The sequence below is a fragment of the Homo sapiens genome, chromosome 6, assembly GCF_000001405.40.
Source record: "Homo sapiens chromosome 6, GRCh38.p14 Primary Assembly".
Lineage (NCBI taxonomy): Eukaryota > Metazoa > Chordata > Mammalia > Primates > Hominidae > Homo > Homo sapiens.
This window is the reverse complement of record NC_000006.12, coordinates 70,764,779-70,792,380: the sequence shown is the minus strand read 5'-3', so window position 1 is coordinate 70,792,380 and position 27,602 is coordinate 70,764,779. Positions and strand designations below refer to the sequence as shown.

General features: G+C 39.4%; 1 protein-coding gene across 10 annotated transcripts in view, besides 1 other annotated feature; it reads right to left on the bottom strand.

The window, feature by feature from the left end:
- Positions 1–27,602, bottom strand: part of SMAP1 (small ArfGAP 1) — a 194,133-nt gene that overhangs the window by 69,635 nt on the left and 96,896 nt on the right. For 5 of the 10 annotated variants that reach the window (NM_001044305.3, XM_005248760.6, XM_047419227.1 and 2 more), the window contains 2 exons: positions 18,956–19,031; positions 612–692 (listed from right to left, as the gene is read on the bottom strand). In NM_001044305.3, the coding sequence (NP_001037770.1) occupies positions 612–692; positions 18,956–19,031 (157 nt within the window). The remainder of the gene's footprint in view (positions 1–611; positions 693–18,955; positions 19,032–27,602) is intronic. The other 5 variants (NM_001281439.2, NM_021940.5, XM_011536047.4 and 2 more) reach the window with 1 other exon arrangement.
- Positions 20,373–20,873: an enhancer, noted in NCBI's record as "H3K4me1 hESC enhancer chr6:71481211-71481711 (GRCh37/hg19 assembly coordinates)". NCBI's record gives its function as "activates a minimal SCP1, AML or CMV promoter by ChIP-STARR-seq in naive H9 embryonic stem cells {active_cell/tissue: H9 hESC(naive)}" and the evidence as "EXISTENCE:reporter gene assay evidence [ECO:0000049][PMID:30033119]".

The window sequence follows — 27,602 nt, the reverse complement described above, 5'->3', positions numbered from 1 at the left end:
AAGGATGCCTGAAACTAATTTATTAAGGCCAATGTAACAAAAAAAAAAAAAAAATAGGTAAAGAGTCAAAAGAAATGAAAACTCTCAAATATTTGTACAGATGACTTTAAAAATACATAGTGGTAGTATCTGCACCCTAACCACTTCCACCCAAAATGCATTCTAACAGTTGTCATTGATGATTCTGAACTCATTATCCCATAATACACGTTTTATCTGTATGATGTTTACTATTGCTTAAAAAAAAGAAACTTGACATTAACTTTCTTTAAGTGCTTTTAACAACAGAATCATAGAAAGAAAATTTTTTTTAAAAAAACGTTCCTGTAAGTATAAGATAGTAATGGGCGCAACAACAAAAAACTAACTGCTTCTTAACTGTTGAGATACAGCCATGGCACCAATAAATCAGTCATTCTGAAATTAAATATAGATTCAAAGTTCTTTAATCATACCTGTGGTATAAAAAAATTCTAGAAATTGCTGTTTTAATTCTAGGGATCATTCAAAATATCAACAACTATTATAGTGTTCCCGAATGACACACTGCAAAAGGAAGTTAATTTACCATTTAACACTACATAATGTAGCTGGTTAAAACATGACCATACCTCCAATTTATTTTTGTCAACAGCAGCTTGCAGAGAAGGAGAGGATACCAAAGGCTGAAGAGGAGCATCAGAGGAGGAAATCTGTGGAGTACAGGTGAAAAGTCAGGAGGAAAAAAACAAAAAGAAGGTAATGAGAATTGACAGGCACAGGAAAGAAAAAATCCCTGTATATTTTTGAGATATAGAAGCACTTAGAGGCATGTTAATAAAGTAAAACAATGCATCAAGAAATAAGTACTGCTTTTTAAAAATTTCAATTTGAAATTTATAAAAGGATTTCGTACTGAATAATATATGATTTAAAATGGATTTTACTAGGATATAAAATTTAAAATGTAGTCAGATAAGATCATACCAAAAGTATATGGAAAATAATTAAGCTTCTCTCATAGTTCATCTTTAGTCGACGTGACTATTGAAATACAAATGCTCTGAAACGTAAAGACACACTGTCCCAAGTAGTAGAAGAGCAAAAATGAGTTTTTGTTTTTACTTATAATACCTTTTAAGAATGAAAAATAAAACGGAGTTGAAATAGCAAAAGTTAATTAAAATTTTAATCAACTGTTTAAGAAAACAGAAAAAAAGCTAGGAGAAAAGAAGAGCAGATTAATGTAATATAACAGCTGAGCAGCAGACTTATTATAAAGCAATTTATATGCTTCATTAAGATCAGCAGACAAACACCATTTCCAGTGCTATACTTGCTGAATTACCCCAAAGCATTATGAGACAGTTATATATGCAGCACAGGCAATTTACACACGAAAATGGGTTTCATCTAAAAGCTTTTTTCACACATCTTCCTGCCCAATTTCTGCATGCGTAGTTGATCACTTTAATGGAAGCATTATCTTCCTGCTCTTTTACTGCCAAAATGTAACTGAAATACATTTATAAAATGCACAGATCTTTGGGGCCATAAAACTGACATCTCTATACTGCCCTATCATATCAATAGTGCCTATGAGGAATTTTTAAAACTAAAAGGTGCTATTACAGATAGGTCATTATGTAATGTCAAAATAACACTGCAAGATGACAAGTCCTCCCTCAATCTGCTTGTTATTAAGTTAGTTATGGCAGTAATTCCTGAATCACAACACAAGACTATAAACTTCAGGGAATTTTTTTCTCCTTGCTTACTCACTGTTGGCTCTGTTATAATTGTGTAAGCTAGCCACTTAATGAATATTAATGCAAGTTACACAGGATAGAAAATAAACAACACAATAAAATGTAGATCTTCCATAAAAAAAAGGCAAAGTCGAGCCTTAAAGCCTGGCTTAAAACTGGTTTGTCCTATTGGATATTTACTTGCTAGAAATCTTTAATTACTACTTTATACAGAAAATAAGAATAAAGCACTTTGGGAGGCCAAGGCACGCAGATCACTTGAGTTCAGGAGTTCGAGACCAGCCTGGCCAACATGGGGAACCGTCTCTACTAAAAATATAAAAATTTAGCCAGGTGTGGTGGTGCATGCCTGTAATCCCAGCTACTTGGAAGGCTGAGGCAGGAGAATCACATGAACCTGGGAGGCGGAGGTTGCAGTGAGCCAAGATCACGCCACTGCACTCCAGCCTCGGAGACAGAGCGAGACTCCGTCTCAAAAAAATAAAAAATAAAAAGAATAAAAAGCCGTACGATCACTTTAGAAGATAGCTGTATCATAAAGACCTCTTTGCCCAAGCTCATGAAAAGTGGAACAAAAATATAAAAGGATAATACGGGCATTGAGTATGTCAAAAGTTACTAATCCTTAGAAAGCAGCAAGATAATTCATTATATAAGTGCTTGTCCTCCATTTGAGAAGATGATAAGCTGATGTGGCCACTTTTAAAACCCAGTAGCAGGAATATAAAATTCCATTCAATAAGTATCAGTAATTTAACAACAACAACAAAAATTCAGACAGGGTCTCACTCTGTCACCCAGGCTGGAATACAGTGTGAAGATCATAGCTCACTAAAACCTTGAATCCTGGACTCAAGTAAAAACCTTTTTCATTTCAGTAACCACTTTTTTTTTTTTTTTTTTTTTTTGAGACAGAGTCTTTCTATGTTACCCAGGCTGGACTCAAACTCCTGAACTCAAGCAATCCTCCTGCCTCTCAGCGTCCCGGATAGCTGGGATAACAGATGCACATCACATTTTAATACCAAAAAAAAAAAAAAGAAAAAAGAAAAATAAATGATTTAATACCATGTTCCAGTTGGGAAAGAAAACAAACTTAAGAAGAAAGACATTTGAAAAGTCAATGGACAGATGAACAGGTGAATTCATAACAAATCAGAAACATAACGGAAGAAAGACGCAAAAGGGTACACAGTGTGTATGAAACCACTCACATAAAACTCTAGAAAAGAAAATATAATCTATGGTGATTAAAAAAAACAGATCAGTCACCAAGGCCATGGTTGGGGGCTGACTAGCGAGGGGCACAAAGAAACCTTTTGGAGTGACGAAAAGGTTCTATATCTTGACTGTGGTGGTAGTGGTTACACAGCGATATGTATTTGTAAAAATTCATTGATCTGTACCTTAAAATATCTACCTTTTATTATATATGAATTATATTTCAATAAAGTCACTCTTTAAAGTCATATTAGCAGGGTAATATACATTATGTGAGCAACGAATAAAGAAACAGAAATCAACATATTGACAACTGGAAGCAAGTGACAGTACAGAACACAGGGGTAAATGAGGGAAGAAAAAAGGGCAGTGAAAAGGAGAAAACAAATACAGAGACATGAAAAGCTAGGTACTCGAGTCTTCTTTCTAAATCTCTAGTAGGAAATCATCAATATCCATCTTCTGGATTAGTCCTCCTAACTGGTCTCCTTGCCCCAAATCTTGCTCCTCTCCAAATCTATTCTCCATACCATGTCATTCTCGAAGTAAAACTGACCACCACATATCACTGCTTAGAAGGCCTGAATAGTTTATATACATTATATAAGGACAGAGTACAAACTCCTTAATCAGGCCACAAGTGTCATCTCTACCTTATCCCCCTATTCTTTCCTCCCCTGGCTACATTCATATACACTCTGCCCAGCCATATATGACTCCTTCTGGTTTTTCTCTAGTCTGCTTCTCTGAACTCTAGGGGCCTTTCCTCTTGCTAGTCCCTCTTCTTCAGAAACCCATGCTTCTATTAGTTCCTACTCATCCTTTAATTTTGAGTTAAAACTGCTTCCTCTGGGAAATATTCAAAGTATTCCTTGATCTCTCTATAGAGTCTGGAGTACGCACCTCCTATAATATTTCCCTAATATGTAAGTTTTTTTTTATTTTATTTTTTATTATTATGATTACACTTTAAGTTGTAGGGTACATGCGCACAATGTGCAGGTTTGTTACATATGTATACATGTGCCATGTTGGTGTGCTGCACCCATTAACTCGTCATTTAGCATTAGGTATATCTCCTAATGCTATCCCTCCCCCCTCCCCCCACCCCACAACAGTCCCCAGAGTGTGATGTTCCCCTTCCTGTGTCCATGTGTTCTCATCGTTCAATTCCCACCTATGAGTGAGAACATGTGGTGTTTCGTTTCTTGTCCTTGCGATAGTTTGCTGAGAATGATGGTTTCCAGTTTCATCCATGTCCCTACAAAGGACATGAACTCATCATTTTTTATGGCTGCATAGTATTCCATGGTGTATATGCGCCACATTTTCTTAATCCAGTCTATCATTGTTGGACATTTGGGTTGGTTCCAAGTCTTTGTTAATGTGAATAGTGCCACAATAAACATACGTGGGCACGTGTCTTTATAGTAGCACGATTTATAGTCCTTTGGGTATATACCCAGTAATGGGATGGCTGGGTCAAATGGTATTTCTAGTTCTAGATCCCTGAGGAATCGCCACACTGACTTCCACAATGGTTGAACTAGTGTACAGTCCCAACAACAGTGTAAAAGTGTTCCTATTTCTCCACATCCTCTCCAGCACCTGTTGTTTCCTGACTTTTCAATGATTGCCATTCTAACTGGTGTGAGACGGTATCTCATTGTGGTTTTGATTTGCATTTCTCTGATGGCCAGTGATGATGAGCATTTTTTCATGTGTTTTTTGGCTGCATAAATGTCTTCTTTTGAGAAGTGTCTGTTCATATCCTTTGCCCACTTTTTGATGGGGTTGTTTGTTTTTTTCCTGTAAATTTGTCTGAGTTCATTGTAGATTCTGGATATTAGCCCTTTGTCAGATGAGTAGATTGCAAAAATTTTCTCCCATTTTGTAGGTTGCCTGTTCACTCTGATGGTAGTTTCTTTTGCTGTGCAGAAGCTCTTTAGTTTAATTAGATCCCATTTGTCAATTTTGGCTTTTGTTGCCATTGCTCTTGGTGTTTTAGACATGAAGTCCTTGCCCATGCCTATGTCCTGAATGGTATTGCCTAGGTTTTCTTCTAGGGCTTTTATGGTTTTAGGTCTAACATGTAAGTCTTTAATCCATCTTGAATTAATTTTTGTATAAGGTGTAAGGAAGGGATCCAGTTTCAGCTTTCTACATATGGCTAGCCAGTTTCCCCAGCATCATTTATTAAAAAGGGAATCGTTTCCCCATTGCTCCTTTTGTCAGGTTTGTCAAAGATCAGATAGTTGTAGATATGCGGCATTATTTCTGAGGCCTCTGTTCTGTTCCATTGATCTATATTTCTGTTTTGGTACCAGTACCATGCTGTTTTGGTTACTGTAGCCTTGTAGTATAGTTTGAAGTCAGGTAGCGTGATGCCTCCAGCTTTGTTCTTTTGGCTTAGGACTGACTTGGCGATGCGGGCTCTTTTTTGGTTCCATATGAACTTTAAAGTAGTTTTTTCCAATTCTGTGAAGAAAGTCAGTGGTAGCTTGATGGGGATGCAATGACTCTATAAATTACCTTGGGCAGTATGGCCATTTTCATGATATTGATTCTTCCTGTCCATGAGCATGGAATGTTCTTCCATTTGTGTCCTCTTTTATTTTGTTGAGCAGTGGTTTGTAGTTCTCCTTGAAGTGATCCTTCACATCCTTTGTAAGTTGGATTTGTAGGTATTTTATTCTCTTGGTAGTAATTGTGAAGGGGAGTTCACTCATGATTTGGCTCTCTGTTTGTCTGTTATTGATGTATAAGAATGCTTGTGATTTTTGTACACTGATTTTGTATCCTGAGACTTTGCTGAAGTTGCTTATCAGCTTAAGGAGATTTTGGGCTGAGACGATGGGGTTTTCTAGATATACAATCATGTCATCTGCAAACAGGGACAATTTGACTTCCTCTTTTCCTAATTGAATAACCCTTTATTTCCTTCTCCTGCCTAATTGCCCTGGCCAGAACTTCCAACACTATGTTGAATAGGAGTGGTGAGAGAGGGCATCCCTGTCTTGTGCCCGTTTTCAAAGGGAATGCTTCCAGTTTTTGCCCATTCAGTATGATATTGGCTGTGGGTTTGTCATAGATAGCTGTTATTATTTTGAGATACGTCCCACCAATACCTAATTTATTGAGAGTTTTTAGCATGAAGGGTTGTTGAATTTTGTCAAAGGCCTTTTCTGCATCTATTGAGATAATCATGTGGTTTTTGTCTTTGGTTCTGTTTATATGCTGGATTACATTTATTGATTTGTGTATATTGAACCAGCCTTGCGTCCCAGGGATGAAGCCCACTTGATCATGGTGGATAAGCTTTTTGATGTGCTGCTGGATTCAGTTTGCCAGTATTTTATTGAGAATTTTTGCATGTATGTTCATCAAGGAGATTGGTCTAAAATTCTCTTTTTTGGTTGTGTCTCTGTCAGGCTTTGGTATCAGGATGATGCTGGCCTCATAAAATGAGTTAGGGAGGATTCCCTCTTTTTCTATTGATTGGAATCGTTTCAGAAGGAATGGTACCAGCTCCTCCTTGTACCTCTGGTAGAATTCGGCTGTGAATCCATCTGGTCCTGAACTCTTTTTGGTTGGTAAACTATTGATTATTGCCACAATTTCAGAGCCTGTTATTGGTCTATTCAGAGAGTCAACTTCTTCCTGGTTTACTCTTGGGAGGGTGTATGTGTCGAGGAATTTATCCATTTCTTCTAGATTTTCTAGTTTATTTGCGTAGAGGTGTTTGTCGTATTCTCTGATGGTAGTTTGTATTTCTGTGGGATCGGTGGTGATATCCCCTTTATCATTTTTTATTGCGTCTATTTGATTCTTCTCTCTTTTCTTCTTTATTAGTCCTGCTAGCGGTCTATCAATTTTGTTGATCCTTTCAAAAAACCAGCTCCTGGATTCATTGATTTTTTGAAGGGTTTTTTGTGTCTCTATTTCCTTCAGTTCTGCTCTGATTTTAGTTATTTCTTGCCTCTGCTAGCTTTTGAATGTGTTTGCTCTTGCTTTTCTAGTTCTTTTAATTGTGATATTAGGAGTCACTTTTGGATCTTTCCTGCTTTCTCTTGTGGGCATTTAGTGCTATAAATTTCCCTCTACACACTGCTTTGAATGTGTCCCAGAGATTCTGGTATGTTGTGTCTTTGTTCTCGTTGGTTTCAAAGAACATCTTTATTTATGCCTTCATTTCGTTATGTACCCAGTAGTCATTCAGGAGCAGGTTGTTCAGTTTCCATGTAGCTGAGCGGTTTCGAGTGAGTTTCTTAATCCTGAGTTCTAGTTTGATTGCACTGTGGTCTGAGAGACAGTTTGTTATAATCTCTGTTCTTTTACATTTGCTGAGGAGACCTTTACTTCCAACTATGTGGTCAATTTGGGAATAGGTGTGGTGTGGTGCTGAAAAAAATGTATATTCTGTTGATCTGGGGTGGAGAGGTCTGTAGATGTCTATTAGGTCCACTTGGTGCAGAGCTGAGTTCTATTCCTGGGTATCCTTGTTAACTTTCTGTCTCGTTGATCTGTCTAATGTTGACAGTGGGGTGTTAAAGTCTCCCATTATTATTGTGTGGGAGTCTAAGTCTTTATGTAGGTCACTCAGGACTTGCTTTATGAATCTGGGTGCTCCTGTATTGGGTGCATATATATTTAGGATAGTTAGCTCTTCTTGTTGAATTGATCCCTTTACCATTATGTAATGGTCTTCTTTGTCTCTTTTGATCTTTGTTGGTTTGAAGTCTGTTTTATCAGAGACTGGGATTGCAACCCCTGCCTTTTTTTGTTTTCCATTTGCTTGGTAGATCTTCCTACATCCCTTTATGTTGAGCCTATGTGTGTCTCTGCATGTGAGATGGGTTTCCTGAATACAGCACACTGATGGGTCTTGACTCTTTATCCATTTTGCCAGTCTGTGTCTTTTAATTGGAGCATTTAGCCCATTTACATTTAAAGTTAATATTGTTATGTGTTAATTTGATCCTGTCATTATGATGTTAGCTGGTTATTTTGCTTGTTAGTTGATGCAGTTTCTTCCTAGCCTTGAAGGTCTTTACAATTTGGCATGTTTTTGCAGTGGCTGGTACCGGTTGTTCCTTTCCATGTTTAGTGCTTCCTTCAGGAGCTCTCTTAGGGCAGGCCTGGTGGTGACAAAATCTCTCAGCATTTGCTTGTCTGTAAAGGATTTTATTTCTCCTTCACTTATGAAGCTTAGTTTGGCTGGATATGAAATTCTGGCTTGAAAATTCTTTTCTTTAAGAATGCTGAATATTGGCCCCCACTCTCTTCTGGCTTGTAGAGTTTCTGCCGAGAGGTCAGCTGTTAGTCTGATGGGCTTCCCTTTGTGGGTAACCCGACCTTTCTCTCTGGCTGCCCTTAACATTTTTTCCTGCATTTCAACCTTGGTGAATCTGACAATTATGTGTCTTGGAGTTGCTCTTCTCGAGGAGTATCTTTGTGGCGTTCTCTGTATTTCCTGAATCTGAATGTTGGCCTTCCTTGCTAGATTGGGGAAGTTCTCCTGGATAATATCCTGCAGAGTGTTTTCCAACTTGGTTCCATTCTCCCCGTCACTTTCAGGTACACCAATCAGGCGTAGATTTCGTCTTTTCACATAGTCCCATATTTCTTGGAGACTTTGTTCGTTTCTTTTTATTCTTTTTTCTCTAAACTTCCTTTCTCGCTTCATTTCATTCATTTCGTCTTCCATCACTGATACCCTTTCTTCCAGTTGATCGCATCGGCTCCTGAGGCTTCTGCATTCTTCATGTAGTTCTTGAGCCTTGGCTTTCAGCTCCATCAGCTCCTTTAAGCACTTCTCTGCATTGGTTATTCTAGTTATACATTCATCTAATTTTTTTTCAAAGTTTTTAACTTCTTTGCCATTTGTTTGAGTTTCCTCCCGTAGCTCGGAGTAGTTTGTTCGTCTGAAGCCTTCTTCTCTCAACTCGTCAGAGTCATTCTCTGTCCAGCATTGTTCCGTTGCTGGTGAGGAACTGCGTTCCTTTGGAGGATGAGAGGTGCTCTGCTTTTTAGAGTTTCCAGTTTTTCTGCTCTGTTTTTTCCCCATCTTTGTGGTTTCATCTACTTTTGGTCTTTGATGATGGTGACGTACAGATGGGTTTCTGGTGTGGATGTCCTTTCTGTTTGTTAGTTTTCCTTCTAACAGACAGGACCCTCAGCTGCAGGTCTGTTGGAGTTTGCTAGAGGTCCACTCCAGACCCTGTTTGCCTGGGTATTAGCAGCGGTGGCTACAGGAAAGCGGTGGCTGTAGAACAGCGGATTTTCATGAACCGCAAATGCTGCTGCCTGATCGTTCCTCTGGAAGTTTTGTCTCAGAGGAGTACCCAGTCGTGTGAGGTGTCAGTCTGCCCCTACTAGGGGATGCCTCCCAGTTAGGCTGCTCGAGGGTCAGGGACCCACTTGAGGAGGCAGTCTGCCTGTTCTCAGATCTCCAGCTGCGTGCTGGGAGAACGACTACTCTCTTCAAAGCTCAGATGGAAATGCAGAAATCACCCGTCTTCTCCGTCACTCAGGCTGGGAGCTGTAGACCGGAGCTGTTCCTATTCAGCCATCTTGGCTCCACATATGTATATTTCCATACTGGCCATCTGGGTCAGTGGAGGTTGTTGGCCTCTCTTCAAATCCAAAGAACAATAAAGCCCTCACTCAGAGAAACAGAGCAAACAGAAACATCCATAGTAGGGCTAGAAATTCCAGGGGAGGACCAAGAAGGCATCTGTCTTCATGATCACAAGGTCCCAAAATAGGCTGTCTGCAAGCTGAAGAGCAAGGAGAGCCAATTCAAGTTCCAAAACTAAAGAACTTGGAGTCCGATGTTTCAGGGCAGGAAGCATCCAGCATGGGAGAAAAATGTAGGCTGGGAAGCTAGGCCTCATATGTAAGTTTTATCACATGTTGTCTTATAAAAATCTAGTTACTTATCAGTATTCTTTGTTCAACTAAAGTTATCTGTGGCAGATATTATTTCTATTCGGTTCACCATCTTTAGCACCTGACATTCAACAGGTCTCAATAAATATTTTCAACTGTTACAGGAAAAGAGGAGGAAGGAAGCATCTCAGAAGGAGAACCAAAAGGAGGCTCAATCTCAGTAATTGTTCTTTGAAAGTTCATTGGCTTGCTAACATACTTTACTGAAATCCCATAGAAGTTATCCATATTTACTTTCAAATTTAGAATTTATTTTGTAACAGATATTAATTCCATTTCACTGGCTCCTAGTACTTTTATACATGTAGAGTATAAGACTCTGACCTTAGAAAATTTTGCTGGAAATTGGTGGTGTCAGTGAATGCAGTAGTCATACTTAAATGTCCTTCCGAACTCCCACCCACCCCATCTATCCATGAGATAATACGCAGTAGAAATCCAGTAAAGACATTCTTCAGAAACAAAATGAGTTTTCTTCAGAAATAAAATGAGTTTAACAGTCCTTCCTTCAATTATTCTTAAGCTCAGACGTTCTTCTCTAGGCCACCATCAAAGTAACCGATATGTGAAAAAACTCCCAGAACACTACAATTGTATAAACTTACCTCATGCAAAAGAAAAACTGACCACGTAAAACAAGTTCCCAACTCCCACCTACAAGAATAAGGTGAACAAACACCCTTTGAAAAGGTATGAAGTAATTGAAGGCCATAAAGCATAATGTTTAAAATTTTCTTGATGAATTTTTTGAAATATTTGCTACTACCACCCTTTTAAACAGAATAATGCTATGAAAATTAAATCTGGTGGTCCAAAGCAGTGAAAAAGATACAGTCACTGAAAAACATCTTATAGATTAATTATTGGCAATGGATTCCTCCAATCTCATTTTAGAAATTCCTGGATGTGTTTTCTAAGTAGAAATTTTATCACAGCAATTCTCAAATGGCTGTCTCATGAGCTTTTAGTATACCATGAAGCTCAAGTTTTTCAGAAGTCTAGAAATCATTTTAAATATATGATTTCCAGTTTTGCACTCCATGGCATATCTTGGATTAAAAAAGCTGAAAACGTAAACATTTACTAAATTAGTATATAACCCATACAAAACACAACATCAATGAAACTCATCCATAGGAGGATTAAAAGACATTGAAAACTTACCCAAGTAACCATAGCTACCAAGTGTGTAGAAGAAGCCTAAATCTTAATATTTAATATTTTAACTTTAAAATCTGTGGCCAAGTCAATAAGAAATATGTAGAATTCTGGAAAACTTAAAAAAATTTTAAGTCCTTTACATGCTCTATTGGGGTGTCCTATAATTAAAGGGCTGATTAAAGTGTGGAGCAATTAATGAAACAGAACTCAAGCCAAGATTTCTCCAATGATATAAACTCTTATAATTAAGTTTGAGTATTCATTTTTCTTATCTACCTGCTTACAGTCATTTCCTGCCATCACAATAGCTTATATTGCAAGTGGTTATGTGCTAGGCACCCTAATAAGAATAGAGTATACTTCATCTTAATTCTTGCAGCAATACTATGAAATTCAGACACTATGACATCCTTATTTCACAGAAGAGGAAGCAAACTGTAATGAAAAGAAGTAACAAAGAAAACCAAGTAGAGACCCTGCTCTTTTACGCTAATCTCAACTCACTAGCTGAAGAGACACAGAGACAGCATGGCGCAAGGGGAAAGAGAAAAGCTACTGGAGGAAAAGAGCAAATTATGTGGCAGTTCAGCCTCATCTACCTAAGTCCTCTTGTATCTCTTAAACTCACTTAAAATACTTTGCTTCCCATTGTGATTCACTACTGGTAAGTGAGCAAGGGAAGGAGGACAGACAGGACAGATTTCTCTTTTTCTTTTTTGAAACAGGGTCTTAAGTCTGTTGCCCAGGTAGTAGTACAGCGGTGTGATCACAGCTCACTGAAGCCTCAACCTCCTGGGCTCAAGCAACTCTCTCACCTCAGCCTCCTGAGTAACTGAAACTACAGGCACACTCTACCACATCCAGCTAATTTTTCATTATTATTTTTTGTAGAGACAGGGTCTTGCCATGTTACCCAAACTGGTCTCAAACTCCTGGACTCAAGCGATCCTCCTGCTTCAGCCTCCTAAAGTGCTGGGATGACAGACATGAGCCACCATGCCTGGCCAACAGGACAAATTTCTGCAAACTGTTGTCAAATTTCCCATCACTCAATGAAATCAGGCAGAACAAGGGAGGTAGACTCATTCTATATGACCATAGTAGGCAGAATTCTGACAGCCACTAAAATTTCCACCCCCTGGTATATACACTCTGTATAAACACCAACCCTGAGATTGTGGGCAGGACTGTGGTAAATCAAATAATGAGCGGGCCATATGTGGGCTAAAGCAAATGTCAGATTCTGACTTAAAGCCTGCCACCAGATGCAGCCGTACAGTTGAAGTACATCAACTCACTTGCCACTATAAAGCCTGCCACCAGATGCAGCTTAATTGTCACCTACTACTCAATGACAGGGTTTTGATATGAGTCTGCAAGCAACTGATTTACTATGGTCTCTGTGCAGTCAAACCTCTCTGCCAATGTTGATCTGTGTTTGTAGCCACTCCCCAGCACTAGCATCACTGCTTCAGCTCCACCTCAGATCATCACGCAAAACATTCTCAAATGGAGCACACAACCTGGATCCCTCACAAGGGCAGTTCTATTCAACATGCTCTATTCAACACATTGAATAGAGCACTAGGGGAGAACAGTAGGAATCAGTAAGTAAGTGACAAGGAAGCTCAGAGGCAGGGAAACTCGAAATGGCAGCATCAAGAGGGAAGCCATGCAGCTAGCCAAGATAGGCTAGAAGCCAGGAAGGACTCCCCATCATGGTGGCAAGGTAAGCAAAAATCCTTAACAGTCCACATTCCCACCACAGCCCCTGCAATCTTAGCTACAGAAGAGTCCTTCAGCCCTCACAGGCCCTGAGTCTAGTATAAGGAGCTGCCTGGAGTCCACGCAACTAAACTATCTCAGAGAGAATTCATACTGGATCTCACCCACCCACTGGGACCAAGCTGCTGCTGCACAGTGCCATTTTGACAGTACCGCCAACACTAGACTACATCCAGCCCTGAAGCCCAATAATCCCAGCATCTTGACATCTGTGGGATCTCCCTCCCAACATCACTTGACATCTTCCCGGAAGGTCTCAGCATCAGAACACCAGCTAGACTCGGCAGTGCAGCCAAGTCCCTGGCACCTGAGTCCTGCAGAAGCCTACACCCTGGAGAAGAGGCAGTCTTGCACATCAGGGAGTCTGCTCCAGGATATAAGGAGCTGAAGCATGTGCTCTCCAGACCTGAGAACCGCCTGCCTGGGGCTGCCACCACAGACAGTGACCCTGCCCATTCCAAGAGCAGAGCCATTGTGTATCCACATACATTGCCTGGGACACCAATGCAAATGCCTGCACATGCTGCCCAGGGACCTGAGAAGTGACTGGCCCGGTTGGCCACCATCCACACACACTGCCTGTGCAGTGGACAGGACTGAGGAATGGCTTGTCCCTATCACTGTCAGTGCCCACACACCCAGCCCAGAGACCCAAGGAAGGGCTTGGTTAGAGGTACCCCATGGCCACCATATATATCTGGAAAGTCCTCCTGGATGCCTGAGAACAGGCCTACTCAGAGCTGCTGCCACCAACACCAGCATGGACTGCCCAGGGGCCTGACAACCGACGTACTCAGACTGACACTGTTGTTAGCATCCTCCACCTGGGGACCCAAGAACCCTCCCACATAGCCACAGCCACCACCGCCCACATGACCCAACCAGGGGCTTGAGGGTTAACTCATCTGGGTCCTATGACATCCATTGCACATGCCCAATCTGCTCATGATCAACTGGGATTTATCCCAAGCATGCATAAATGGTTTAACATATACAAATCAATAAATGTGATACATCACATCAACAGAATGAAAGACAAAAACTTTATCATCTTTTCAACAGATACAGAAAAAGAATTTCATAAAATTCAACATCTCTTCATGATAAACATTCTCAACAAATTAGGCATAAAGGAACATACCTCAACATAATAAAGGTCATATATGACAAACCCACAGCTAACATCATAATGAATGGGGAAAAGCTGAAAACTTCTCTTCTAAGAACAGAAAAAAGACAAGGATACCCACTTTCACCAATCTTATTCAACATAATATTCAACATAATATCCTTTGTGTTTGTAACACAAAGGATAACACTTGAGGGGGTAGATATCCCATTTTACATTATGTGATTTTTACACATTCCATGCCTGTATTAAAACATCTCATGTCTCCTATAAATATATACACCTACTATACACCCACAAAAATTAAAAATTATTAAAAATAGATTAAAGACTTAGCTGGGTGTGGTGGCTCATGCCTGTAATCCCAGCACTTTGGGAGCCCGAGGCAGGGGGATCACTTGAGGCCAGGAGTTCGAGACCAGCCTGGGCAACGTGGCAAAACCCCATCTCTAACAAAAATACAAAGTTAGCCAGGCATGGTGGCACGCACCTGTAATGCCAGCTACTCGGGAGACTGAGGCAGGAGAATCACTTGAACCCAGGAGGCGGAGGTTGCAGGGAGCTGAGATTGCACCATTACACTCTAGCCTGGGTGAAACAGGGGGACTCCATCTCAAAAAAAAAAAAACTTAATAATGAAGACTTAAATAGGAGACCCAAAACTATAAAATTTGTAGAAGAAAACATAGGAAACACTGGTCTAGGCAAAGATCTTATGAATAAAACTTCAAAAGCACAGGCAACAAAACCAAAAATAGAAAAATGGGACTACATCAAACTAAAAAGCTTCTGCATGGCAAAGGAGACAATTAACAGAGTGAAGAGACAATCTGTAAAATAAGAGAAAATATTAACAACCTACTCATTTGACAAGAAACTAGCATCCATAATATACAAGGAACTCGAACAACTCGACAGCAAAAAATAATAATAAAAAAATAAGCAAAAGATCTGAATAGACATTTCTCAAAAGACACAAAAATGGCCAACAAGTACATAAAAAAGGTCAAATCAATAATCATCAGAGAAATGCAGGAGGAGCCAAGATGGCCGAATAGGAACAGCTCCGGTCTACAGCTCCCAGCGTGAACGATGCAGAAGACGGGTGATTTCTGCATTTCCATCTGAGGTACAGGGTTCATCTCACTAGGGAGTGCCAGACAGTGGGCGCAGCAAATCAAAACCACAATAAGATATCTTACCACAGTTAGAATGGTTTATTATCAAAAAGATGATAGATACCAGAGAGGATACAGAGAAAACAAAACTCTTAGATACTGTTGGTGGGAATGTAAATTAGTACAGCCACTATGGATAATATGGAGGTTTCTCAAAAAATTAAAAACAGAATTACCATATAAGCCAGCAATCCCACTACAGGGCATTTATCTAAAGAAAAGGAAATTAGCATATCAAAGAGATACCTGAACCCCCATGTTTACTGCAGCTCTATTCACAATAGCCAAGATACAGAATTAACCTAAATTTCCATCAATAGATGAACAGATTTTTAAAGTGTGATATATATACACAATGGAATACTATTCAGCCATAAAAAGAATGAAATCCTACCATTCACAGCAACATGGATAATCCTGGGGGCCATTATGCTAAGTAAAATAAGTCAGGCACAGAAGGATAAATGCCACGTGTTCTCATTCTTCTGTGTGAGCTAAGAAAAACTGAACTCATGGAAGTAGAGGGAAGAACTATGGACATTAAAGGGTAAGGGAGAGGAAAGGATGGGGAGAAATTTTTAACAGATGTGACAGTACAGCTAGATAGGAGGAGTACGATTTAGTGTTCTGTAGTATTATAGGGTAAGTACGGCTAACAATAATTTAGTGTATATTTTCAAAAAGCTAGATGATACTGAATGTTCCCAACACAAAGAAATGATAAATGTCAGCAGGGTGTGGTGGCTCACACCGGTAATCCCAGCACTTTGAGAGGTCGAGGTGGGCAGATCACGAGGTCAAGAGATCGAGACCATCCTGGCCAACATGGCAAAACCCCGTCTCTACTAAAAATACAAAAATTAGCTGGGCGTGGTAGCACGCCTGTAGTCCCAGCTACTCGGGAGGCTGAGGCAGAAGAATTGCTTGAACCCGCAAGGCAGAGGTTGCAGTGAGCCAAGATTGCGCCACTGCACTCCAGTCTGGCAACAGAGCGAGACTCTGTCTCAAAAAAAAAGAAAAGAAAAAGAAGAAATGATAAATGTCCCTCTGTGGATACCCCTTAAGTACTCTAGTACTCCTGGAATACCTTAGATATAAGGTACTTATATTTTTTTAAATCTGTTCCTGTCTCCACTGTGATAAATGTCTCTAACAGTCATGTCCTCTTTGTTTTAGTATCCTAGGAGATTGTGAGCATAGTAAGTGATCCAAATTTATTTGGATGAGTGCTCAATCTATTACTGAAGATGAAACACTGAACAGAAATATGTAATTCTCAGTAATACCTAAGATTAGTTACTTGCTCACTGATCACCATGAAAGAGGAAAAAATCCTTTAAATCTGCTACAATATAAACTTATTTATTATTATTTTGCTTATATTGGAATAGGTGGAATACATTTTCCCTTGGGTTTATTGTGACTTTTGTAAATCTTTCTGCATTTTTATTTCAATAGTACTATAAACTCAGGAGTATATACTGAAGTAAACAGACTTTTACCTTAAAATTTTTACTCTCAAGCCTACATAAAAAAAGGAAGGAACTGTAGAGTGAATACCTCTATAAACATCATTAATATTAGTCAAATACTAACATTAGCCATATTTGTTCTCTCTCTACAGACACAAACACACAAAGCTGCTAGGTTTCACCAAACCACTTGAAAGTGTTAGGTATCATAACATTTAATCTCCAAGTATTTTATTCTACCACGTATCTTATAAATGAAGGAATTTTTACAACTAAGCATACCATTATTACACCTTGAAGGGGGGAAAAAACCCAACTCAGTAACAGCTACCATCCCAAAATAAAACCATCTTACACATTACTATGTAAAAATAATTTCCTAATTATTGCTAAGAAAAGAAACATAATACAAATATAATTTTTAAAATTATATTTTAAAAGTGTTTAATATGAAACAGTATGTTCCCTAAAATAAACTAAAATGATTTCTTAACATTTCATATGAAAATACATTACACTTTTAAGTTAGTCCTTTCCCCCATCAATGCTTACAGCGGCCTTAATTTTATAGACATAAATATTCTCAATACTGTCAATTTTTAATCAACCCTTCAACAGATTTCCTCACATCCACTGTAAATGCAGCTCCAATGCTACACACAAGGATATCTTTGCTCTAAAATACACACTAATGATACTTGAAAACTTAATTTTTTTTTTTTTTTTGACACAGAATCTTACTCTGTTGCCCAGACTGGAGTGCAGTGGCTCAATCTCAGCTCACTGAAACCTCTGCCTCCTGGATGCAAGCAACTCTGCCTCAGCCTCCCAAGTGGCTGGGATTACAGGCATGCACCACTGGGCCCAGCTAATTTTTGTATTTTTAGTAGAGACGGGGTTTCACCATGTTGGCCTGGCTGGTCTCAAATCCACCTGACTCAGCCTCCCAAAGTGCTGGGATTACAGGCATAAGCCACCATGCCCAGTCGAAAAAAAAATAAAAATTTTTTTTAATAAAAAGAGATAGGGTCTCACTATGTTGCCCAGCAGCCTGGTCTTGAACTCCTGGGTTCAAATGATCCTCCCACCTTGGCCTCCCAAAGTGCTGGGATTACAGGCATGAGCTACCATATTGAGCTGATACTTAAAAACTTTTTTAACAAGATTTTTTTATGGCCAAAGATAGCATATTAAAATATCCTAACTTTATTAGGATTTTACTGAATTTTTAATATATTGCTTCTCCATATGGGCCAAATAGGAAACCAGTTTGTATGAAAAATGAGATGAATCTATTTCCATAGTATCTAAATTGCTTGACAGATGACTTCACCAAAAGATTAACTGGTTTATAGCTTATCAATCTAGGAATCAAAGTCCAAAAATGATTTCAACAATAAAGGCAATTAGCCTTAGAATATAATTAACTTGGATGAGAAAATTTTTAAAAAACTAAAAAGAAACAGCTGATAAAACATAACAGTCCTGTGTCATTTAACAATTGGGATACATTCTGAGAAACATATCATTACATGACAGCATCATCGTGCAAACATAATCGAGTGTGCTCATACAAACCTAGATGGTACAACCTACTACATACTTAGGTAATATGGTAACATCTATTACTCCCAGGCTACAAACCTGTACTGCATGTTACTATAGTGAATACTGTAGGCAATTCTAACACAATGGTAAGTATCTGTGTATGCAGATATATCTAAACATAGAGTACAGTAAAAATAAGGGATTATAAACTTATAGGACCAACGTTGTATATACAGTCTGTCATTGACTGAAACCTTGTTATGGGTACCTGATGGTATTTGATTACTACTGTAAAGACTTAACTATTAGGAGTATCAAAATGCTTGCTAATAACAAATGTAAATGCCATCTTTTAATATATTCCTGGGCTACTGGTTTCATTTCTCAATGGACCAACCAAAGAAAGCCCTTAGAGGAAGACATATATTTGCCTTTTTTCTTTTTCATACATTTCTAGAATCTAGGGGAAAAAATTTCTCTCCCACCATTTTCAATTAGTGGTTCTAGCTTTTTTGCAAATTTCAAAAATTAACTTAATTAAATGCCATGTAAGTGGTTATTAGATTTAGAATATGCTCCTTTCTAAATCAAGACTTCTGCTCTGCAAGAGCTCAACATTATATAACCAAAAAAGTTCCAATATTCAAATGTAAATATATACAACTAGTATGTTTTCACAATAAATAAATTAAGCTGTATTGCATGTTAAAAGTTTGAAATCTAGTCAACAAACAATTGATGAGAGATGAAGGTTTTACTTACATTTGTAATAGCTATGGCATTTTTATCGTAGTATTTCTTCTTTTCATATTTATCTCTGATGAAAAATTCCACTGCTCTGAAAACAGATAACTTAAGGAAAAGCATGAATTCAGTGATATGTACACTTCCCTTTATTCACGCCACTCCACAAAGCTGGGACTCTAAATTTAATTTTCCTACTCCTCAATCTGTGCTCTCTTTCACATTATTTCTGCAACTACATTCTGTAAACTACTTTTCTTTCTCTTAAAGAAGTCTACCTCTTTCAGGAAATTTTCTCACTGAACAAAACTCATCCAAACTAATTCTAGAAAGAAAAGTAAATGACAATTCTTAATTCCTACATCACCACCACCACTATCAATGCATCACCACACTTTAAATTCAATTCAGGTTCATTTGGGGTTTTTGGTATAAGAAATTAACATCTATGCAAGTACCCACACTGAGCCAGACATCCTATACTATATATGCTGTACATACTTTGGGTCCTTTAATTCCTCCCACACCCCACGAATGTGCATATTATTAGTTCCATATCATAGATGAAGAAACAGCAACTTGGAAAGATTAAGCACTTGTGATTCCAACATCTATGTTCTTTTCCACTATATATGCTGTCCCTGGGCACATCATATAGGATTCCACATGTATTAGAAGAACAGTGGCCAATTTTATCCTTGCAAAGTTGAGAAATGGAAAAGTCAAGATGATAAAGCCAACGTTAGTCTTCTTTAAATTCTTGAAGTTGTCTGGACTCATCTTACCTGTTAATAGAGTGAGTAATTTATACTGGGATTGAGTGTTTAGAGTTACGTGACATCAATAACTTCTCTTACCACTCATCATATTCCACTGAAATGGAAATTCTTAAAGGGGTTCTTAACCTCTTTAGTGACATGAGCTCCTCTGGTACTCAGGTAAAGCCTGAAGACTCCTTTCTGATAATTATTTTCAATGCATAAAACACACATAATTACAGAAAAAAACCCAATTACACTGAAATATAATATCTCTGTGGATCCCCCAAGTTAAGGGGATCATTCTAGTCAAAAGAAAAGTTACCTGGGCGGTAATACAATACAGTTTCAGTCAATAACCATTCATAAAAATTTTTTAAAAAGCCTTTTAAAATGACAGTTGAGGCAACAGGTAATAGAAAGGGATGACAGACCACACAACACGTCCCAGAATAATGTTGTTTTCTTACGACACTGATGAAACAAAAAATTTATTTCTACCCGAGCCACTGTCTGTGTAGACTTTCCAAATTTTCCCCTACCTACTTGGGTTTTCTATGGGTACTCAAGCTTCATCTCATATCCCCAAGATATGCACATCAGGTTATTTCACATGTCTAAATGGCCCAGTATGAGTGAGTGTGGGTGTATGTAAGTGCACCCTGCAATAGAACAGTGTCCTGTCCCAGGATGGTTCCCACCTTGTGCCCTGGGCAGACGGGACAGCTCCAGCCACCAGCAACCCTAACCTGGAGTAAGCAGGTTGAAAAGTGAATGAATAGTTATTTGGAGCCAAGATGGCCAAATAGGAACAGCTCCGGTCTACAGCTCCCAGCGTGAGCGACGCAGAAGATGGGTGATTTCTGCATTTCCATCTGAGGTACCGGATTCATCTCACTAGGGAGTACCAGACAGTGGGCACAGGACAGTGGTGCAGCACACCGTGGGCGAGCGGAAGCAGGGAGAGGCATTGCCTCACTCGGGAAGCGCAAAGGGACAGGGAGTTCCCTTTCCTAGTCAAAGAAAGGGGTGACAGACGGCACCTGGAAAATCGGGTCACTCCCACCCCAACACCGCGCTTTTCCGACGGGCTTAAAAAACGGTGCACCAGGAGATTATATCCCACACCTGGCTCGGAGGGTCCTACGCCCCCGGAGTCTTGCTGATTGCTGGCACAGCAATCTGAGACCAAACTGCAAGGCGGCAGGGAGGCTAGGGGAGGGGCGCCCGCCATTGCCCAGGCTTGCCTAGGTAAACAAAGCAGCCTGGAAGCTCCAACTGGGTGGAGCCCACCACAGCTCAAGGAGGCCTGCCGGCCTCTGTAGGCTCCAACTCTGGGGCAGAGCAAAGACAAACAAAAAGACAGCAGTAACCTCTGCAGACTTAAACATCCCTGTCTGACAGCTTTGAAGAGAACAGTGGTGCTCCCAGCACACAGCTGGAGATCTGAGAATGGGCAGACTGCCTCCTCAAGTGGGTCCCTGACCCCTGACCTCTGAGCAGCCTAACTGGGAGGCACCCCCCAGTAGGGGCAGACTGTCACTTCACACGGCCGGGTACTCCTCTGAGACAAAACTTCCAGAGGAACGATCAGGCAGCAGCATTCATGGTTCACGAAAATCCGCTGTCCTGTAGCCACCACTGCTGGTACCCAGGCAAACAGGGTCTGGAGTGGACCTCCAGCAAACTCCAACAGACCTGAAGCTGAGGGTCCTGTCTGTTAGAAGGAAAACTAACAAACAGAAAGGACATCCACACCAAAAACCCATCTGTACGTCACCATCATCAAAGACCAAAAGTAGATAAAACCACAAAGATGGGGAAAAAACAGAGCAGAAAAACTGGAAACTCTAAAAAGCAGAGCACCTCTCGTCCTCCAAAGGAACGCAGCTCCTCATCAGCAACGGAACAATGGTGGACAGAGAATGACTTTGACAAGTTGAGAGAAAAAGGCTTCAGACGATCAAACTACTCCGAGCAACAAGAGGAAATTCAAACCAAAGGCAAAGAAGTTGAAAACTGTGAAAAAAATTCAGACGAATGTAGAACTAGAATAACCAATATAGAGAAGGGCTTAAAGGAGTTCATGGAGCTGAAAGCCAAGGCTCGAGAACTACATGAAGAATGCACAAACCTCAGGAGCCGATGCAATCAACTGGAAGAAAGGGTGTCAGTGATGGAAGACGAAATGAATGAAATGAAGCGAGAAGGGAAGTTTAGAGAAAAAAGAATAAAAAGAAACGAACAAAGTCTCCAAGAAATATGGGACTATGTGAAAAGACGAAATCTATGTCTGATTGATCTACCTGAAAGTGACGGGGAGAATGGAACCAAGGTCGAAAACACTCTGCAGGATATTATCCAGGAGAACTTCCCCAATCTAGCAAGGAAGGCCAACATTCAGATTCAGGAAATACAGAGAATGCCACAAAGATACTCCTCGAGAAGAGCAACTCCAAGACACATAATTGTCAGATTCACCAAGGTTGAAATGCAGGAAAAAATGTTAAGGGCAGCCAGAGAGAAAGGTCGGGTTACCCACAAAGGGAAGCCCATCAGACTAACAGCTGACCTCTCGGCAGAAACTCTACAAGCCAGAAGAGAGTGGGGGCCAATATTCAACATTCTTAAAAGAATTTTCAAGCCAGAATTTCATATCCAGCCAAACTAAGCTTCATAAGTGAAGGAGAAATAAAATCCTTTACAGACAAGCAAATGCTGAGAGATTTTGTCACCACCAGGCCTGCCCTAAGAGAGCTCCTGAAGGAAGCACTAAACATGGAAAGGAACAACCGGTACCAGCCACTGCAAAAACATGCCAAATTGTAAAGACCTTCAAGGCTAGGAAGAAACTGCATCAACTAACGAGCAAAATAACCAGCTAACATCATAATGACAGGATCAAATTCACACATAACAATATTAACTTTAAATGTAAATGGGCTAAATGCTCCAATTAAAAGACACAGACTGGCAAAATGGATAAAGAGTCAAGACCCATCAGTGTGCTGTATTCAGGAAACCCATCTCACATGCAGAGACACACATAGGCTCAATATAAAGGGATGGAGGAAGATCTACCAAGCAAATGGAAAACAAAAAAAGGCAGGGGTTGCAATCCTAGTCTCTGATAAAACAGACTTCAAACCAACACAGATCAAAAGAGACAAAGAAGGCCATTACATAATGGTAAAGGGATCAATTCAACAAGAAGAGCTAACTATCCTAAATATATATGCACCCAATACAGGAGCACCCAGATTCATAAAGCAAGTCCTGAGTGACCTACAAAAAGACTTAAGACTCCCACACAATAATAATGGGAGACTTTAACACCCCACTGTCAACATTAGACAGATCAACGAGACAGAAAGTTAACAAGGATACCCAGGAATTGAACTCAGCTCTGCACCAAGCGGACTTAATAGACATCTACAGAACTCTCCACCCCAGATCAACAGAATATACATTTTTTTCAGCACCACACCACACCTATTCCCAAATTGACCACATAGTTGGAAGTAAAGCTCTCCTCAGCAAATGTAAAAGATCAGAAATTATAACGAACTGTCTCTCAGACCACAGTGCAATCAAACTAGAACTCAGGATTAAAAAACTCACTCAAAACTGCTCAGCTACATGGAAACTGAACAACCTGCTCCTGAATGACTACTGGGTACATAACGAAATGAAGGCAGAAATAAAGATGTTCTTTGAAACCAACGAGAACAAAGACACAACATACCAGAATCTCTGGGACACATTCAAAGCAGTGTGTAGAGGGAAATTTATAGCACTAAATGCCCACAAGAGAAAGCAGGAAAGATCCAAAAGTGACACCCTAATATCACAATTAAAAGAACTAGAAAAGCAAGAGCAAACACATTCAAAAGCTAGCAGAGGGCAAGAAATAACTAAAATCAGAGCAGAACTGAAGGAAATAGAGACACAAAAAACCCTTCAAAAAATCAATGAATCCAGGAGCTGGTTTTTTGAAAAGATCAACAAAATTGATAGACCACTAGCAAGACTAATAAACAAGAAAAGAGAGAAGAATCAAATAGACGCAATAAAAAATAATAAAGGGGATATCACCACCGATCCCACAGAAATACAAACTACCATCAGAGAATACGACAAACACCTCTACGCAAATAAACTGGATAATCTAGAAGAAATGGATAAATTCCTCGACACATACACCCTCCCAAGACTAAACCAGGAAGAAGTTGACTCTCTGAACAGACCAATAACAGGAGCTGAAATTGTGGCAATAATCAATAGCTTACCAACCAAAAAGAGTCCAGGACCAGATGGATTCACAGCCGAATTCTACCAGAGGTACAAGGAGGAACTGGCACCATTCCTTCTGAAACTATTCCAATCAATAGAAAAAGAGGGAATCCTCCCTAACTCATTTTATGAGGTCAGCATCATCCTGATACCAAAGCCTGACAGAGACACAACCAAAAAAGAGAATTTTAGACCAATCTCCTTGATGAACATTGATGCAAAAATCCTCAGTAAAATACTGGCAAACCGAACCCAGCAGCACATCAAAAACTTAACCACCATGATCAAGTGGGCTTCATCCCTGGGATGTAAGGCTGGTTCAATATACACAAATCAATAAATGTAATCCAGCATATAAACAGAACCAAAGACAAAAACCACATGATTATCTCAATAGATGCAGAAAAGGCCTTTGACAAAATTCAACAACCCTTCATGCTAAAAACTCTCAATAAATTAGGTATTGGTGGGACGTATCTCAAAATAATAACAGCTATCTATGACAAACCCACAGCCAATATCATACTGAATGGGCAAAAACTGGAAGCATTCCCTTTGAAAACGGGCACAAGACAGGGATGCCCTCTCTCACCACTCCTATTCAACATAGTGTTGGAAGTTCTGGCCAGGGCAATTAGGCAGGAGAAGGAAATAAAGGGTTATTCAATTAGGAAAAGAGGAAGTCAAATTGTCCCTGTTTGCAGATGACATGATTGTATATCTAGAAAACCCCATCGTCTCAGCCCAAAATCTCCTTAAGCTGATAAGCAACTTCAGCAAAGTCTCAGGATACAAAATCAATGTACAAAAATCACAAGCATTCTTATACACCAATAACAGACAAACAGAGAGCCAAATCATGAGTGAACTCCCATGCACAATTGCTTCAAAGATAATAAAATACTTAGGAATCCAACTTACAAGGGATGTGAAGGACCTCTTCAAGTGGAGAACTACAAACCACTGCTCAATGAAATAAAAGAGAATACAAACAAATGGAAGAACATTCCATGCTCATGGGTAGGAAGAGTCAATATCATGAAAATGGCCATACTGCCCAAGGTAATTTATAGATTCAATGCCATCCCCATCAAGCTACCAATGACTTTCTTCACAGAATTGGAAAAAACTACTTTAAAGTTCATATGGAACCAAAAAAGAGCCCGCATCGCCAAGTCAATCCTAAGCCAAAAGAACAAAGCTGGAGGCATCACGCTACCTGACTTCAAACTATACTACAAGGCTACAGTAACCAAAACAGCATGGTATTGGTACCAAAACAGAGATAAAGATCAATGGAACAGAACAGAGCCCTCAGAAATAACGCCGCATATCTACAACTATCTGATCTTTGACAAACCTGAGAAAAACAAGCAATGGGGAAAGGATTCCCTATTTAATAAATGATGCTGGGAAAACTGGCTAGCCATATGTAGAAAGCTGAAACTGGATCCCTTCCTTACACCTTATACAAAAATTAATTCAAGATGGATTAAAGACTTAAATGTTAGACCTAAAACCATAAAAGCCCTGGAAGAAAACCTAGGCATTATCATTCAGGACATAGGCATGGGCAAGGACTTCATGTCTAAAACACCAACAGCAATGGCAACAAAAGACAAAATTGACAAATGGGATCTAATTAAATTAAAGAGCTTCTGCACAGCAAAAGAAACTACCATCAGAGTGAACAGGCAACCTACAAAATGGGAGAAAATTTTTGCAACCTATTCATCTGACAAAGGGCTAATAACCAGAATCTACAATGAACTCAAACAAATTTACAAGAAAAAAACAAACCACCCCATCAAAAAGTGGGCAAAGGACAGGAACAGACACTTCTCAAAAGAAGACATTTATGCAGCCAAAAAACACACGAAAAAATGCTCACCATCACTGCCTGTCAGTGAAATGCAAATCAAAACCACAATGAGATACCATCTCACACCAGTTAGAATGGCAATCATTAAAAAGTCAGGAAACAACAGGTGCTGGAGAGGATGTGGAGAAATAGGAACACTTTTACACTGTTGGTGGGAATGTAAACTAGTTCAACCATTGTGGAAGTCAGTGTGTTGATTCCTCAGGGATCTAGAACTAGAAATACCATTTGACCCAGCCATCCCATTACTAGGTATGTACCCAAAGGATTATAAATCATGCTGCTATAAAGACAGATGCACATGTATGTTTATTGTGGCACTATTCACAATAGCAAAGACTTGGAACCAACCCAAATGTCCAACAATGATAGACTGGGTTAAGAAAATGTGGCGCATATACACCATGGAATACTATGCAGCCATAAAAAATGATGAGTTCATGTCCTTTGTAGGGAAACGGATGAAATTGGAAATCATCATTCTCAGTAAACTATCGCAAGAACAAAAAACCAAACACTGCATATTCTCACTCATAGGTGGGAATTGAACAATGAGAACACATGGACACAGGAAGGGGAACATCATACTCTGGGGACTGTTGTGGGGTGGGGGGAGGGGAGAGGGATAGCTTTAGGAGATATACCTAATGCTAAATGACGAGTTAATGGGTGCAGCACACCAACATGGCACATGTATACATATGTAACAAACCTGCACGTTGTGCACATGTGCCCTAAAACTTAAAGTAAAATAATAATAAAATAAAAATAAATAAAAAATAAAAAAAGAAAAGTGAATACAAATTGTAAAATAAAAATTTGTCAAGTATACAATCATACAAATGCACAATAAATAAATGATGTGGTAAGAAAGTCCTCAGGAAGCCCATCATATTTGTTGTTTTTCAACTTCATTATGGTAGGAGGTGCTCAATACAATTTTTGCTTTACAAACATTTATTCCTTGATTTGACCCACCACCACTATGACTATCACTCATAGATTCACTAAAAATTGGGTAAATAATTATCTCACTTGTTTTTACTAGTCTTCCTTAAATGTATGTATATAACTCACATTTATTTCAAACTTTGGTATTAGACATGTTATGGGTCTTTATTTAGAAATGTCATATATTTGTGACCAGAAATATGCCATAGGAACTTAACTTTTGTTTACATCAACTAGCCTAGGGTAAAACCGGTTTCATTATATGTCATTTTGCTTAAAGTCGTGGTTTCTAAGAACCTATCAAAGACATTAAGTGAGGCTCTATATGGTGGATATGAAAAGAATTGGGGCATTATGAAAGCACTCACAGTGGGCCAGGGACGCAAGCTGGACATAAAATCTAAACATTCCATTTATTAAGAGGAATAATTGGACACTGTTTATAAAGACAAGTTTTCTGGCTGGGCAAAATGGCTCTTGCCTGTAATCCCAGCACTTTGGGAGGCCCAGGTGGGCTGATCGCTTGAGCCGAGGAGCTCAAGACCAGCCTGGCAACATGGCAAAATTCCATCTCTACAAAAAAATACAAAAATCAGCTGGGTGTGGTAGTGGTGTGCCTGTAGTCCCAAATACTCAGGACGCTGAGGTGGAAGGATCACCTGAGCCTGGAAAGTCAGGGGTGCAGTGAACTATGATCGCACCACTGCATTCCAGCCTGGGCAATGGAGTGAGACCCTGTCAAAAAAAAAGAAAAAACACTTGAAAGTAAAACTACTCCTTT